The sequence below is a fragment of the Homo sapiens genome, chromosome 1 (genome assembly GCF_000001405.40).
Source record: "Homo sapiens chromosome 1, GRCh38.p14 Primary Assembly".
Classification (NCBI taxonomy): domain Eukaryota; kingdom Metazoa; phylum Chordata; class Mammalia; order Primates; family Hominidae; genus Homo; species Homo sapiens.
In genome coordinates, this window is record NC_000001.11 from 19,248,644 (window position 1) to 19,264,611 (window position 15,968).

Here is a 15,968-nt window from a genome sequence, read left to right on the forward strand (position 1 = left end):
TCTTGACTTCGTGATCCACCCGCCTCGGCCTCCCAAAGTGCTGGGATTATAGGCGTGAGCCACCACGCCCAGCCCCAAGCTGGTCTTGAACTCCTGGACTCAAGCCATCCACCCACCTCAGCCTCCCAAAGTGCTAGGATTACAGATGTTAGCCACTGCGCCCGGCCTGTGTCTTAGTTTTTAACAAAATAGTTTAAGACTGAAAAAAAAAATTTTAGTATTGTAGGAAAAAGCTTATAGAATAAAGATATAAGAAAAATATTATTAAGTCAGGCATGGTAGCATATGCCTGTAATCCCAGTTGCTAGGGAGGCTGAGGCAGGAGGCTTGCTTGAGTCCAGGAGTTCAATATCTGCCTGGGGAACATAGCAAGATCCCATGTCAAAAATAAATTTTAAAAATATATTTTTGTACAGCTGTAAAGTCTGTGTTTTATACTAAGTATTATTACAAAAGTCAAAAATTAAAAAAATAAAATGTTTGTAAAGTAAAAAAGTTACATTAAGCTAAGGTTAACTTATTATTGAAGAAATTTTATAAATTTAGTATAGTCTAAATGCACAGTATTTATAAAGTCCACAGTAGTGTACAGTAATGTCCTAAGCCTTTACATTTACTCACCAACCACTTACTGACTAACCCCAGAACAACTCCTAGTTCTGCAAGATACATTCATGTTAAGTGCCCTATACCAGTGTACCATTTTTTATCTTTCATATCCTATTTTTACCATACATTTTCTATGTTTAGATACACAAATATTTACCATTGTGTTACAATTGCCTACAGTTTTCAGTAAAGTAACATGCCGTACAGGTTTGTAGCCTAGGAAGAATAGGCTGTACCATATAGCCTAGGTGTGTAGTAGGCTAAACCATCTAGATTTACATAAGTACATGCTACAACGTTTGCACAAGAGGGCATTTCTCAGGATGTATTCCCATCATTAAGTGATGCATACCTGTATGTCTTCATTTATTTTTCAATCTGAAAACTGTAGGCCAGGTGCAGTGGCTCACACCTGTAATCCCAGCACTTTGGGAGGCCGAGGCAGCCAGATTGCTTGAGCCCAGGTGTTCAAGACCAGCCTGGGCAACATGGCAAAACCCCGTCTCTACAAAAAATACAAAGAAACTGGAGAGGTGTGCACCAGTAGTCCCAGCTACTCAGGAGGCTGAGCTGGGAGGGTCACTTGAACCTGCAAGGTCAAAGCTGCAGTGAGCCATGATAGTACTGTACTCCAGCCTGGGCTACAGAATGAGTCCCTGTCTCAAAAAATTTTAAAAAGTCTTGGCTGGGCGCAGTGGCTCCCACCTGTAATTCCAACACTTTGGGAGGCCTAGGCGGGTGGATTACCTGAGATCGGGAGTTTGAGACCAGCCTGACCAACATGGAGAAACCCTGTCTCTACCAAAAATACAAAAATTAGCTGGGTGTGGTGGCGCATGCCTGTAATCCCAGCTACTCGGGAGGCTGAGGCAGGAGAATCGCTTGAACCCCAGAGGCGGAGGTTGTGGTGAGCCATGAGATCGCGCCATTACACTCCAGCCTGGGCAACAAGAGCAAAACTGTCTCAAAAAAAAAAAAAAAAAAAAAAAAAAAAAGTCTTAAACAGAGTCCTTTTCCCCCCTCATCAGCCTAACCTGGCCCTGGGCTCAGAGCAGAGCTGCCCAAGACACTAAGCAGTTAGGAAATGCCATTCATTCATTCATTCATTCATGAAAATAAAATTAAGAAAATTGCATATATCAAGTATTCTGCAAAATTAGATACACATATCACCCGATATATATGTGTAACATACACATATGACATTGTGAACAGTTGTGCACATCATTAAAAATGTAACATGTTTTATTTGTCACACTGTCTGGCATAACAGGTACTCAACATATATGCGAATCAACTTTTCCAAGACAGAAAATACTTCAGAGGAGGAGAAATCTGACCTGGGCCCTGAAGAATAAAGTGTAAATAGCAATAATAACAGATAACGCTTAATGACTGCATTCAATGAGCCAGGCATTGTGCTAAGTAATTTAATGGGATTGTCTCATTCATTCTCACAAGTACTGTAAGAGATAACGGACTGTTAGTAAACCCATTCTACAGACAAAGAAACCAAGGCACAGAGTGGTTAAGTCACTTTCCCCAAGATCACACAAGTCTTAACTAGTAAAATTCAAACAAAAGCAAGCTACTCCAGGGCCTTAAGGAAGACGTGGGTGGGTGAATGAATGAATGAGTGAATGGCATATTCTAGCTGCTTAGTGTTTTGGGCAATCCTGCTGTGAGCCCAGGGCCAGACTAGGTTGATGAGAGGGGAAAAGGACTCAGTTTAGGACTTTTAAGACGAAAGCTCCTGTTCACTTGCCTACAAGACACCAATTCGAGTAGGAATTAAAGTTCACTGACAGCTTGGCGACCTCTGACACCTGGTAGACCAGAAACCTCACAGTCAAAAAAATCGAACCTGACGAGGGAGGACGGGATCAGTGATCTCTGACCGGCACCCCAAGCATTCCTGGATGGCAGGGCCGGCTTACACGCAAGGATCAGCTTAGAATGACCCCTAACACTTGGTTTAAGGCTCTGCTTCCAACGACTTTAAATCCTTAATAATTTTTTAACAAGGGGCCCCACGTTTTCATTTTGTACTGGGTCCTGCAAATTATGCGGCCAATCCTGTTAAGTGACAACCTTTAGCAGGTAGGAGACAGGTACTGGGGAAACAGCCACTTATCTCTCGAATATGTTCCACACGTACGCACCAATCAAACTTGCCCACTTGGTCTTCGTAGACCGCGGCCGCAGGAATCAGCAGCGTAGCCCAAAGCCAGAAACGAGAAGCCCACTCAGCCGCCATGATGCGAGCGCATGCACCACCCACCGCCGTCCCGGCATGCACCGCGCCGCGGGCTCCGCCTCCGCGGGACCACAGAGCTGGGATAGCGCGCGAGGCCCTCGGTCGGACGGGACGCTCGGGATTCAGGGACTGCCTCGGCACACGGGAAGTTGCCCTACAGGCGCGGGAGAAAGCGCAGGCGGCGGCTTGGCAGGGAGAGGCAGGCTGCAGTGCACATTGGGTCAGGCACACGCGAGGGGCAGCCCCCGAGGGCCGTCCCAGAGTCCCCCGCGCCGCCGGGGTCCTAACGGGGTGCACCGTCTTCCGCCGCACGTGGATTCAGCGCGATGCCCAAATCCAAGCGCGACAAGAAAGGTGGGCGAAGGGGGAGTCGGGACCCTGGGGGGAGCTCCGTGGGCTGGCTACCCAGCCTGCGGTGAGGGCTTCGGGGCGGCGGGGGCGCAGATTGGAACGCCAGGACATCCTCGAGGTGTTCCGCTGCCTCGCTGCGAGCTGGAATGGGGGCTTCGGGGCTGTAAAACCGCCAGAGGTGGCTGACGCCCGGTCGGGTCTGGGGAGCGGAGACTCGTTTTGCCTAGTTTCAGGTGCTCTTGCAAGGCCAACTGGGTCGGGAGGCAGCTCCTGAACACCGCCCCCGGCTATGCCTGCTGCCGTTTCGGCCCACTTTTCCCAACTTCGGCCCTTTCTCATCTTCCTGCGCTCCCGCCACCCTGGCTGCCTTTCCCTTCTTTCAGCACAGGTTTGTTCCCGTGTCTGGCGTTGTGTGTCTGCGGTTGTTTCTGCCTGGCATGCTTACATCTTCGTATGGTTTGCGCCTTCTTAGTTGTCAGTTAATAGGATCCCTCTGAGACAGGGTCTCGCTCTGTTGCCCAGGCTGGAGTGCAGTGGCGCGATCGTAACACTGCAGGCCGGATGCGGTGGCTCACGCCTGTAATCCCAGCACTCTGGGAGGCCGAGGCGGGCGAATCATCTGAGGTCGGGAGTTCCCGACCAGCCTGGCCAATATGGTGAAACCCCTTTTCTACTAAAAATACTAAAAATTAGATGGGCATGGTGGCAGGTGCCTGTAATCCCAGCTACTTGGGAGACTGAGGCGGGAGAATCGCTTGAATCCGGGAGGCGGAGGTTGCAATGAGCCGAGATCGCTCCACTGTACTGCAGCCTGGGCACGACAGAGCGAGACTCCGTCTCAAAAATAAATAAATAAAATAAGTCACTGCAGCCTTGACCTCCTTGGCTTAAGCGATCCTCCCACCTCAACCTCCCGAGTAGCTGAGACTACAGGCGCACGCCACCACACCCAGCTAGGTTTTTTTTGTTTATTTTTTATAGAGAAGACTCAGTGTGTTGCCAAGCTGGTCTCGAACACCTGGGCTCCAACCACCCTCCCTGAGTGCTGGGATTACAGGCGTGAGCCACTACACCCGACTTGCGCACCTCTTAAGAGACCGTTTTTGACCACCTTTGCTGTGGTGGCCTCTCTCTTAACCCGGCTCCCTGGAATATTCAAAAATATTTAGGGGTCTGGCACTTTCTAGGCGTTAGAGGATACAGCAGTCACAAGGAAAGCCTATTTCTTATCGAGCCTAACGTTTTAGGAGAAACATATTCCGCAAAATGCTAAAAATCAGATTGAAAATGGGGTGAAGAGATGTTGATATTTTGTATAGTGTGGTCGGGAAAGGTCTCACTGATGAAGTGACAAATGAGCAGAAAATAAAGAAAGGAAGCGAGCAACCTGTGGAATTGAGCAGCTGTGGAATTATCTGGGAGAATGCTGTTCCAAGTAGAGGGAACCTGAAGTGAAAAGGCTCTGAAATGGGAGCAGATATGACGTGTTTGGGACAAGAGGCCAGTGAGGCTGGAGCAGAAGGAGCCAAATAGAGTTTGGGGAGGGAGTTAGGCAGAGAGGGCAGGACTTCCTCGGCCTTGGCAAGGCATTGGCTTTCCTGCCCAGGTGAAGTGAGTAGCAGAGGACCCATGTGATTTACCTTTACTTATGAAGGGTCACTCTGGTTGCCTTGGTGAGAATAGTTGGGGAAGACAGGGCAGAGGGCAGGAATGGAAGCAGTGAGACCAGCATTAATCCAAGACAGGGTGATGCTGGCTTGAGCCAAAGGTATAACAGTGGAAATGATGGGAAGTGGCCCGCTATATTTCGTTTGCCCTCCTCTGCTCCACTTACCATTGACTGATGTCATTGTCTTTGTCTGTGTGGTACCTAGTTAAGAGGGGCTGAGTGCGGGCAGGTTAAAGAAGAGAGGCCTGGGTCCCTTTGTGAAGGCGCCCGGGGCTTTGCAGTTGGAGTTCTGTTAAGTGTTTCTGGAACGATTTGATTCTGTGGAGGGGCCTGGGTCAGGTCTGGCAAATGCCAAACTCTGTGGGTAGAGGGCAAATTGGGCCCCAGCCATTTTTACAGTAGAGGTACATGTTCCTCCCCAGAGAGGTGTTGCTGCGTCTTTGGGTCCAAATTGCAATACTGGGGTGCAGATACATACCAGGAGATTCAGTCCCCAGCCTCATGGTTGCACAGCATAGGCCAGCTAGAGTGGCCTCTGCATCATGGTCAAGAGCAGCAAGGGGCCAGGCATGGTGGCTCACACCTATGATTCCAACACTTTGGGAGACTGAGGTAGGCAGATCTCTTGAGCCCAGGAGTTCGAGACCAACCTGGGCAACATGGCAAAAGCCATCTCTGCAAAAAATACAAAACTCACCTGGGCATGGTGGTGCATTTCTGTGGTCCCAGCCAAAATTAGCAGGCCATGGTGGTGTGTGCCTGTAGTCCTGTGTGGGAGGATTGCCTGAGCCTAGGAGCTCAAAGTTGCAGTGAGCCCAGATCGTGCCATTGCAGTCCAGCCTGGGTGACAGAGTGAGACCCCATGTCAAAAAAAAAACAAAAAACAGGGGCCTGCCTCAGCCAGCAGGTGAGGTCTGCCACTGAGAGCACTTCTAGCAGCAGGAACAGCCTCCACCCCCACACTGCAATCAAGTTTTTTGGGTCAGCCTTAGGAGCTAAGAAAGGCCTAGTTTGTCTAAATAGCAGGAGTTATATCCAGGGATCTTCAGGCCCAGGAATGCTAATGAGTAGGCATTCCATGGGCCCTGGGAATGGCTTTGTGTGCCAGAAATGATGGCCACAAAGGCCTTGCTGCCTTTTTTCAGAATGGCTGCATCCAGCTGAGTGCTCTCTGCCAAAGGGGAGAAGAAAATAAGTCTCCAGTGCATTTAGATTGGTCTCTCATCATCTCTCTCCTTTTTGTTTTTATTAGTCTCCTTAACCAAAACTGCCAAGAAAGGCTTGGAATTGAAACAAAACCTGATAGAAGAGGTAAGAGGTTGTTCTTTTCTAGAGCTTGCAATTGTTTGGTTTATAAAGGTAGGTATAGGACTGTTGGCCAGGGATAGGACTGTTGGCCAGGGGAACATACTAGTGGGGAAAAAAAAAAAATCTCCAAGCTGCCAATCCAGGCCTTTTTCCTCCAGCAGCAGCACCAGCAAAAACTTCCATAGTGATGATTTCCAGCTTTGACTAGCTCGTACTCTGTGCCCTGTCCTGCACTGTGTTTCTTATGCGTTGTTCCACTCCATCCTCATAACATCCCTGTGATGTGGGTACTAGGTGATGATGTTGCTGTTTTGCATTTGGGGTCACTGAAGCTTACAGAGATTTGTTAGCCTGCCTAATGTCAAAAAACAGGAGGCCAGGAATGGTGGGCCACGCCTGTAATCCCAGCACTTTGGGAGGCCAAGTGGGTCAGACAGCTTGAGTCTGGGAGCTCAAGAGCAGCCTGGGCAACATGACAAAACCTCATCTCTACAAAAAGAAAAGAAAAAAAAACTAGCTGGACGTGGTGGTACGCAGCCTGGGCAACAGAGTGAGACCCTGTCTTTAAAAAAAAAAAAAAAGAGCTGGGAGATTTACCAGGTGTAGGTGACTGCACCAACCCACTGTCTGTACAGCTTCTGACCTGCCAACCTGGGCTGCAGGCTGGGTGAAACAGTCTCCTCCTGCACAATGACTCCACTCCTAGAGGCTGCCTCATGGTGGCTTTGGCCAGCACCACGTGCAGAGCAGTACCGATCAGCTGCCTCCCCTTATAACAGAGAGGCTCCATGTGTTTCCATGTAGCAGGACCCTTCCTAATGTGGGTGAATGTTTCTAGGTTAACAGCTGATGATCAGTTCCACTGTTGGTCATAAATAAGTGAGAGACCTGGAAAAGGCCGTGGGGTGTAGATCCATGGCTCAGCCTCCCCTGTGGTTAGGGATCCTAATTTCAGTAATGGAGGTAGGAGACAACCAAATTAGAGGCCTCCAGTTCTTCCAGTTTCCATAGTTGTCAGGGGCCCAGAGCAGATTCATTCTCATCTGAGGCCAGAGTAGTGCCCGTTGTATGCTGCTGCTTGAACTCAGAGCCTCGTGAATTGTCCCACAGCTTCGGAAATGTGTGGACACCTACAAGTACCTTTTCATCTTCTCTGTGGCCAACATGAGGAACAGCAAGCTGAAGGACATCCGGAACGCCTGGAAGCACAGCCGGTGAGCGGGCAGGGGGAGGAAGGCCCTTCTGAGTGGGGACCCGGCCAGGCTGCTCTCAGTCAAAGCACAGGAGCAATTTCTGACCCTTTAGGTGCCTGGGTCATGCCGCTGACACCTTAATAAGGACAAAGTGCTACCTGCCACTGAAGAGCACTTCCTTTTCACTGTTAAAGCTGGTCTTGGGCAGGGTGCGGTGGTTCACGCCTGTAATCCTGGCACTTTGGGAGGCTGAGGCAGGGGGATCACCTGAAGTCAGGAGTTTGAGACCAGCCTGGCCAACATGGCGAAACCCCTTCTCTACTGAAAATACAAAAATTAGCCGGGCATGGTGGCAGGCACCTATAATCCCAGCTACTCAGGAGGCTGAAGCAGAAGAATCACTTGAACCCATGAGGCAGAGGCTGCAATGAGCTGAGATTGCACCATCGCACTCCAGCCTGGGTGACAGAGTGAAACTCCACCTCAAAAAGCAGATTTTGCACTGAGCTCCTAGGGGCAGGACTTGGCAGTTGCTCAGGAGATGTTTGAGAGGTGGGCCTTTCCGGAGAAGTGGCCCTTTAACCCTGGACTGTGGGCCATTTAGGAGCATCACACCAGTTTTAGAATGTCAGTAGGGACACTGCGACACAGACAGTGACCTGGGAGCAGGATGCAGGAGCCACATGGCAAGTTTCTGTCCTGGGGCAGGTGGCTCTGGTGGTGGTCTCTTGCCGCACCAGCTCTGGTTCAGGCTGTTAACATGCCTCCCGCATACATCCAGATAGAGAACTGGTACATGATGCTCGTGATGGGCTGGGAGACAAAATGTTGCCATGTCAGGAGTCTGTGGGTGGGAACATAATGAAAGGGACCCCAACGTGGGGACAGTGTGGCCAGGCAGCATGGAGAAGTGGGTGCCACTGGCTCAGCCTGGGCCTGAGCTCACTGGGGACCGGAGCTACTTTGCATGTTGCTGAGGGATGGGGAGGGCAGGGCTCTTCCTTCACAGAATGCTCTTTCTCTTGCTTGGTAGGATGTTCTTTGGCAAAAACAAGGTGATGATGGTGGCCTTGGGTCGGAGCCCATCTGATGAATACAAAGACAACCTGCACCAGGTAAGTCTCTGGCCCTCACGGGGTGGAGCTAAGGCAAAGCCGCCCTCTCTCCCACTACTCCCATGTGACAGCCTCCCCCAGCCATTGGCAGGCCGGAGGCTCAGGGAGAGCAGGGCCTGGCTTAAAGCTCTGGGTTCTCCCTTCACCTCCGGACCCAAGGAATAGCAGCTTCCTGCCTCCCACTCCTTCCTGCTATGACAACCAAAAACGTCTTTAAATGTTGCCAAATGTACCCGGTGAGCAAAAACGTGCCTAGTAGAGAACCACTGCTCTAATGTGACCAAGCTGTCCTCACTCCTGATTTGTAGGTCAGCAAAAGGTTGAGGGGTGAGGTGGGTCTCCTGTTCACCAACCGCACAAAGGAGGAGGTGAATGAGTAAGTACTGCTGAGGAACGGAGGGAAAGAGGCGGGTGAGAGGGGATTTCAGGGAGGGAATGATGCAGGAACTTCGTTCCATATGTGGCATCAAGTTGGAACTGCTCCTGGAAGCCTGTCACTGAGCTAGTGGCCTGGGACCACAGCCCTCTCTGTCCTCTCCAGCATGGTGCTCTGGGCTGGCTGCTGGCCAGCAGCCAAGGTCTGTGATGGGGGAAGGCCCAGGGCCACGGGACACTTGGGGGAGCCTGACTCATGGGCTGGTGGCGTGGCCAGGAGCATCTCCTCCTACCACTTCTCTTTTCCCTTAGGTGGTTCACGAAATACACAGAAATGGACTACGCCCGAGCTGGTAACAAAGCAGCTTTCACTGTGAGCCTGGATCCAGGGCCCCTGGAGCAGTTCCCCCACTCCATGGAGCCACAGCTCAGGCAGCTGGGCCTGCCCACCGCCCTCAAGAGAGGTATGGGCAGCCCTGGAGCCAAAAGGTCACAGCCTAGAGTCCAAGAGCACGGGCCTGCAAGCTCATCCCTTTCTAGCTGAGCAAGTTATTTCTACAAGCTTCCATTTTCTCATGAGAAAATGGGGCTAAGAGTGCATGCCTCACAGTGGGGGTGAAAGCAGACAGTAACTTACAGCCAAAATGCAGCCCTTGAGGCCCATCAGGGGCCTTGCGCTTGTTTAAAAAAAAAAAAAGTCAAAAAATTAGACAGCCATGGTGGTGTGTGCCTGTGGTCCTAGCTACATGGGAGGCTGAGGCAAGAGGATCACTAGAGCCCAGGAGGTCGAGGCTGCGGCAAATCAAAGGGACCTCAGGGAGACAGCCACTGCCCAGTGTGTGTTGGAGCCGTGGGGAGGGCAGGTGGCTGACTGGATTCCTCCCAACATGACCAGGGCAGAGAGGGCTCTGCAGGCCTCTGGGCCAGAGGTAACTGAGAGCCACCCTCTTCTGCAGGTGTGGTGACTCTGCTGTCTGACTACGAGGTGTGCAAGGAGGGCGATGTGCTGACCCCAGAGCAGGCTCGCGTCCTGGTGAGTCTGGCGCCTTGCGGGCTGTTGCGGGCGGGGTTGCTGGCTTTCCTCTGCCTGCTGAAAATGCCCCCCTGCACTTTGAATACCTTCATTCCTCCTGATTCTTTGTTCCCTTTGTCTCTTGCAGAAGCTTTTTGGGTATGAGATGGCTGAATTCAAGGTGACCATCAAATACATGTGGGATTCACAGTCGGGAAGGTTCCAGCAGATGGGAGACGACTTGCCAGAGAGCGCATCTGAGTCCACAGAAGAGTCAGACTCAGAAGATGATGACTGAAAGGGACTCGGGACTGAAGGTCTCCTGGAAGCTTCTGGGTCTCACTGGACCATCAGGACTGCTGCCGCCCCTCTGGAGAGAGCAGCTTTTTATTTGTCTGTAGACAGGGAACATGATGGGCACTGACCTCCTGTAAAGAATAAAACTGTGGGCCGGGCGCGGTGGCTCACGCCTGGAATCCCAGCACTTTGGGAAGCCGAGGTGGGCAGATCATAAGGTCGGGAGATTAAGACCATCCTGGCTAACACGGTGAAACCCCGTCTCTACTAAAAATAGAAAAAAAAACTAGTTGGGCATAGTGGCATGTGCCTGTAGTCCCAGCTACTCAGGAGGCTGAGGCAGGAGAATCACTTGAACCCGGGAGGTGGAGGTTGCCGTGAGTTGAGATTGGACCACTGCTCTCCAGCCTGGGCAACAGAGTAAAACTCTGTCCCAAAAAAAAAAAAAGAATACAACCTTGCAGGATGTCTCTCCTGGAGACAGCAAGAGGGAGAGGAGGGAGAGGGCTCTTTCTTAGAAAAGAGGCCTTTGGTGAGCCCAGAAGTTTGAAACCAGCCTGGGCAATTCAGCAAGATCCCGTCTCTACAAAAAATAAAAAAAAATTAGTCGTGGTGCCACTTGCCTGTGGTCCCCACTGCTTGGGAGGCTGAGGTGGGAGAATTGCTTAAGCCTGAGAGTTGGAGGCTCAGTGAGCCATGATCATGCCACTGCACTCCAGCCTGGGTGGCCATTGAATTCTGCGTGGATTGCCTCAGTTTGCCTTGTCAGCCAACTTCCACTGGCTGCCTTGGCACTGCCATGACAGCACAGCTCCACACCAGAGCTGGGGTTTCTCTTCAGTCCTGGGTACCCCTTGGCAGAGGGATTTGCTGAGGAAAATTAGGTATCCTTCCTAGCCCTCCACACACTTCCAAACCAGGGCTGCGGATCTGATGGATGCCAGGAAGACAGCCTTGGGCTGAGAGTGACATCACTGCAAGAGTTGAGAGCCAGCGTCTAAAGTGTCCACGGCATCCTGGGAGGTTTTATCCTTGGTGACTCTAATGGTAGATTTTTGTCCACCTTGTTCTATTTGCTTTTGTTTGTTTTTGATTTTTCTGTTTTAAAATTTTAAGGAGAGATGGGGTTTCACCATGTTGCCCAGGCTGGTCTCAAACTCCTGAGCTCAAGCGATCTACCCACCTTGGCCTCCCAAAGTGCTGGGATTATAGGTGTGAGCCACCGCATCCAGCCCACATTGTTCTATTTGTATTTCATGAAAGCAGTTCTGAATGAGAGTAAATCAGCTTCAGGGTGTACAGTGGCCCTCTTTTTTCTGCCATGCATGGAAGAGGGCCACCTCCAGCCCTGCTGTTGGGAGGTCAGGCTGGGTCCCACGGTGTGGGGTGACCTTCACAACGGCATTGTGCCTCTGACACCCTCTCAGTGCCTCTGTTCTTTGGAGACTTCCTACTCCCGCCCACTTCTCACCACGCCCTTGGGAAGGACAGCAGGAAGCAGGCTTCGGGCAGAAGAGGAATTCACCATGTTCACCCAGGCCTAGGCCAGGTCAAGCACCAGCCTCAGCAGGAAGTGCTGAAGGAGAGCTCAGGCCCGGCCCTCTCGCCTTGTGAGGATGACTGGGAAGACTGCACGAGTGTAGGGGAGGATCTGCAAACCGGGCTGAGAGGGGAAAGCAGCCTACAACCATTTAAGGCCAAAACTGGCCAGGGGGAGAGAATGAAGGGTGGCAGGTGGTGCCCTCCGCACCTGAGCCAGGTCTAGCCAGACCTGGAGGAGGTAGTGGGATGGTCAGGTGCCAGGCTTGGTCGGCGGCCTCTGTGACAGCCGAGTCCAGGGTCCCTTTGCTGCTGCCAGTTTCTCCAATTGCTCCATCCAGGATGACCACGTCCCTATGCATGCCCTGTAAGGGAGACAGCTAGACTTCAACACATTTCTGCTGCACAGTGACTAATCATGCCCCTCCCAGCCATGGCCCCGCCGCTAACTGGGCTCTGGTTATTCACGTATGCCTTGCATTACTGCTTGCAAACAGCCATGACCGTTGGGCTTTAAAGCCCTGCCTCCACGCTGTCTCAGCTTTAGACAGCTGACTTCAGAGCCACTCATCTGCTGCTCAGCAGCTGGGTAAACCCAGGTCAGTCACCCAGCCTTTCAGCTTCAGACTTCAGGCCGCTTGTCTGAATTAGAAATTGTGTGAAGCACTTTGCCTGCAGACCAGGCACGTAACGTGCTCACTAAAGGGAAGCCATAACCATATAATACCCAAGCTGGAGAAGGGGGTTAGGGACAGCAGGGAGAGGGAAACCCTGCCACTACACACAGGGTTGGGCTGTCTCCAGGGTGGGCAGCCAAGGAGCCAGGAAAAGCTAATGGTTAAAAATGTAGGTTTCAGACCAGATGCAGTGGCTTGCACCTGTAATCCTAGCAATTTGGAATGCTGAGGTGGGCGGATTGCTTGAGCCCAAAGACTCAAGATCAGCCCAGGCTCAGGCCGGGCACGGTGGCTCATGCCTGTAATCCCAGCCCTTTGGGAGGCCGAGGCAGGCGGATTACGAGGTCAGGAGATGGAGACCATCCTGGCTAACACGGTGAAACCCCGTCTCTACTAAAAATACAAAAAATTAGCTGGGCATGGTGACGGGCGCCTGTAGTCCCAGCTACTCGGGAGGCTGAGGCAGGAGAATGGCTTGAACCTGGGAGGCGGAGCTTGCAGTGAGCCGAGATCACAGCACTACACTCAGCCTGGGTGACAGAGCTAGACTCTGTCTCAAAAAAAAAAAAAAGATCAGCCCAGGCAATGTAGTGAGACCCCTGTCTCTACAAAAAATACAGAAGTTAGTCACATGGTGGTGTATGCCTGTGGTCCCAGCTACATGGGAGACTGAAGCGGAGCATTGCCTGAGCCCTGGAGGTCAAGGCTGCAGTGAACCATGATCAAGCCACTGCACTCCAGCCTGGGTGACAAGAGGAAGACCTTGTCCCCCCAAAAAGAAAAACATTAGTTTCAGTCAAACCCACGTTCGTTCCCTACCATGTGTAGCTGTGGGACCCTACACAAGTGAAATTGCCTCTGAGCCAGTTGCCTCATGTAAAACTGAGATGACCATACTTAACATGGCCATCGCAATAACTAGTGTTGGTTACCTGGCCGCTTAAGTAATTTGTGTAAGAACAGGTTTACCCCACCCAAAAGAACTGGGCCATGGAGAGCCTTCATAGGAAGAAAAGGACTTAACTCCTCTTGGTCAAAGTGACCAAATGACTGCATAGCCCTCGCAGCTTCCCCAGTCTCCCCACCCCCACAGAATTTGAGAGAAGCAGCTGAGCATCTAGAGACAGCTGGGTTACCTGCAGCTTGCGAGTGGTCCATCGCAGGACAGTCAAGGCCATGCCAGGGGCACTGGTGCTATATACACAATCTGCAGGACCTGCTCCACCAGGGCCATGGCCTTGAAGTGGTGCTTGTTCCAGAAGCTGGGTTGGGGGAGGGTATTGCACGGGGGTCAGTACTAGGGGTCATCTCAGGGCGGTTGCCTGCACCCAGGTCCCTGAAGCACTGAGGGGCTAATGGCTTCTAAGTAGACATCTTACATTTTTGAGCATCAGAATGCATGCATGTTTCTGGGCCCCTCATCCGTGTTCTTGGGTGGCTAGAGGGGAGGCAGTGGGCGAGAATCCTTGCATTTGGCCAGGCGTGATGGCCACACCTGTAATCCAAGCCCTTTGGGAGGCCAAGAAGGGAGGATTGCTTGATGCCGGAAGTTAGAAGTCAGCCAAGATAACGTAGGGAGACCTCCTGTCTCTACAAAAAAAAAAAAAAAAAATTAGCCGGGCGTAGTGATGTGCGCCTCTAGTCTCAGCTGCTCTGGAGGCTGAAGCAGGAAGATCACTTGAGTCTGGGAGGTAGAGGCTACAGGGAGTGGTGATCGAGCCCCTGCACTCCATCCTGAACAACAGAGTGAGACCCCATTTCGAAGAAAAAACCCTAGCATTTAACCTCACCAGGTGTTAAACACCCGCCACCTTAGGACCCCTCAGCACCTACAGCACCACACCTGTGTGCCCTGGGGGACACAAGGACCCATGACAAGTCCTGATCTCCAATCCTGGCTCTGCGGCCTTGGCTGAGCCACCTGCCCTCACCTGCTCAGTGAGGAAGGGAAATGCCCCATGCCAGCCCCATGTGCTAAATGCCAAGTATAAAGGTAGTAAGGGGCCTGGCCAGCTTTGCACACTGTAAAGAACAGATGGGATGAAACCCAGCAGGTCTCGATGCTCCAGGGCTGTAGCCTGGGCCCTGCAGTGTGAAAAGCTTGAGAAAACCTCCGCTTAGGACGGTGGTTCCTGAACATGGCAAGGATTATTAGAAACCCTTGGGGTTTCTGATCATCCTTATCATCCAAATAAGGCTGTAAATCACAGCAGTGCACACAAGGTGAACCCAAATGTTGGACACTGCTGCCTAAGTCCTTGGCCATTTCAACAAAACTAGCACTGGCACCACTTCCATGGAGCTTGGCTTGTTTCTGCCTTCCTCCCAGGGGGAGAAAACAAAAAGAAGTAATAAATCACATTGTGCACAAATATTAACCTTGCAGGTGTGGATTTGGTAAATCTAAGATCAGGAACTTTCCAGCAGCCCACACACGACATCTAAATTTGATATATTAAGGAATAGCGATAAAGTGTGTAGCTTTTTTTTTAATAAGAGATGGTGGTCTTGCTTTAATATCCAGGCCAAACTCCTAAGCTCAAGCAATCCTCCTATCTTGGCCTCCTAAGGCTGGAACTACAGGCCTATGACACCATGCCTGGCTAGTTTTTAAAATTTTTTTGTAGAGACAGTCTCACTGACCTGCCCAGGCTGGTCTCAAACTCCTGGGCTCAAGCGATTCACCTTTGTCTCCCAAAGTGTTGGGATTATAGGTGTGAACCACCACCCCCAGCCAAGTGTATACTTTAGACATAGTGCAGCAGTAACTGCTAGAGAAAAAGAAAGCTGCAAGAATTTCTAGAAGTTGCCTCTGAGGAATGAGACTTGGAAAGTGACAGCTTTTAACCATGGGCACATATCACTTTAATAAATTGTCCAAATTTTAAGAAATAGACTGGGTGTGGTGGCTTCCAGCTTGTATATATAAACTGTCTTCCATCCAACTCTTGGAATCAGAGTAAAGCTTTTGGAAATCCATTTTGTGAGAGAGAAAGCATCTAACTGTTGTGAATGCTATTTCAAATTCAGTTAATAAAGCTCAACATTGAGAATAGAAATTTGTTTCTGCAGTGGACATACACTTACAAATGCCATGGTAAGGACGGTGGCTCACGCCTGCAATCCCAGCACTTTGGGAGGCCGAGGCGGGTGGATCACGAGGTCAGGAGTTCAAGACCAGGCTGGCCAAGATGGTGAAACCCCGTCTCTACTAAAAATATAAAAAATGAGCCAGGTGTGGTGGCAGGCGCCTGTAGTCCCAGCTACTCGGGAGGCTGAGGCAGAGAATTGCTTGAACCCGGGAGGCAGAGGTTGCAGTGAGCCAAGATTGCACCACTGCACTCCAGCCTGGGCAACAGAGCTAGACTCCATCTCAAAAAAAAAAAAAAAAAAAAAAGCCATGGTAAAAACAGCCTTATTAAATTAAAAATCCATGCAGCAGAAATGTACTTGTTCATAAACAATTGTGGAGCCTGGCACTCTTACCTTCCTGTTGCTTCTGAAATGTATTCAGAATGGCCCAATTTGAGACACTGGTGATGCCAACCAACCCAGTCACTGGGAAC

General features: G+C 50.9%; 2 protein-coding genes across 8 annotated transcripts in view, besides 4 other annotated features; one reads left to right on the forward strand and one right to left on the reverse strand.

The window, feature by feature from the left end:
• EMC1 (ER membrane protein complex subunit 1) overlaps positions 1 to 2,881 on the reverse strand; it is a 35,865-nt gene extending 32,984 nt beyond the window's left edge. For all 6 annotated transcript variants that reach the window (NM_001271429.2, NM_001271427.2, NM_001375821.1 and 3 more), the window contains exon 1: positions 2,772 to 2,881. In NM_001271429.2, coding sequence (NP_001258358.1) covers positions 2,772 to 2,866 — 95 coding nt within the window. In that variant the 5' untranslated portion in view covers positions 2,867 to 2,881. The remainder of the gene's footprint in view (positions 1 to 2,771) is intronic.
• Positions 2,794 to 3,299: an enhancer, noted in NCBI's record as "NANOG-H3K27ac-H3K4me1 hESC enhancer chr1:19577931-19578436 (GRCh37/hg19 assembly coordinates)". NCBI's record gives its function as "activates a minimal SCP1, AML or CMV promoter by ChIP-STARR-seq in primed H9 embryonic stem cells {active_cell/tissue: H9 hESC(primed)}" and the evidence as "EXISTENCE:reporter gene assay evidence [ECO:0000049][PMID:30033119]".
• On the forward strand, positions 3,162 to 11,485 carry MRTO4 (MRT4 homolog, ribosome maturation factor). Of its 2 annotated transcripts, none has more exons than XM_006710675.5 (8): positions 3,162 to 3,605; positions 6,139 to 6,197; positions 7,305 to 7,408; positions 8,421 to 8,502; positions 8,811 to 8,878; positions 9,190 to 9,341; positions 9,834 to 9,910; positions 10,038 to 11,485. In XM_006710675.5, the coding sequence occupies exons 3-8, from the start codon at positions 7,359 to 7,361 to the stop codon at positions 10,185 to 10,187; spliced, it is 579 nt and encodes a 192-aa protein (XP_006710738.1). In that variant the 5' UTR covers positions 3,162 to 3,605; positions 6,139 to 6,197; positions 7,305 to 7,358; the 3' UTR covers positions 10,188 to 11,485. The 2 variants fall into 2 exon arrangements, with proteins under 2 accessions (XP_006710738.1, NP_057267.2); NM_016183.4 differs by having other exon boundaries at positions 3,162 to 3,220.
• Positions 5,116 to 5,617: an enhancer, noted in NCBI's record as "H3K4me1 hESC enhancer chr1:19580253-19580754 (GRCh37/hg19 assembly coordinates)". NCBI's record gives its function as "activates a minimal SCP1, AML or CMV promoter by ChIP-STARR-seq in naive H9 embryonic stem cells {active_cell/tissue: H9 hESC(naive)}" and the evidence as "EXISTENCE:reporter gene assay evidence [ECO:0000049][PMID:30033119]".
• Positions 5,409 to 5,554: a silencer, noted in NCBI's record as "fragment chr1:19580546-19580691 (GRCh37/hg19 assembly coordinates)". NCBI's record gives its function as "represses an EF-1alpha promoter that drives an FKBP-Casp9 reporter gene in an ReSE screen in HepG2 liver carcinoma cells {active_cell/tissue: HepG2}" and the evidence as "EXISTENCE:reporter gene assay evidence [ECO:0000049][PMID:32094911]".
• Positions 5,618 to 6,117: an enhancer, noted in NCBI's record as "H3K4me1 hESC enhancer chr1:19580755-19581254 (GRCh37/hg19 assembly coordinates)". NCBI's record gives its function as "activates a minimal SCP1, AML or CMV promoter by ChIP-STARR-seq in naive H9 embryonic stem cells {active_cell/tissue: H9 hESC(naive)}" and the evidence as "EXISTENCE:reporter gene assay evidence [ECO:0000049][PMID:30033119]".
• Positions 11,486 to 15,968: the final 4,483 nt, after the last annotated feature.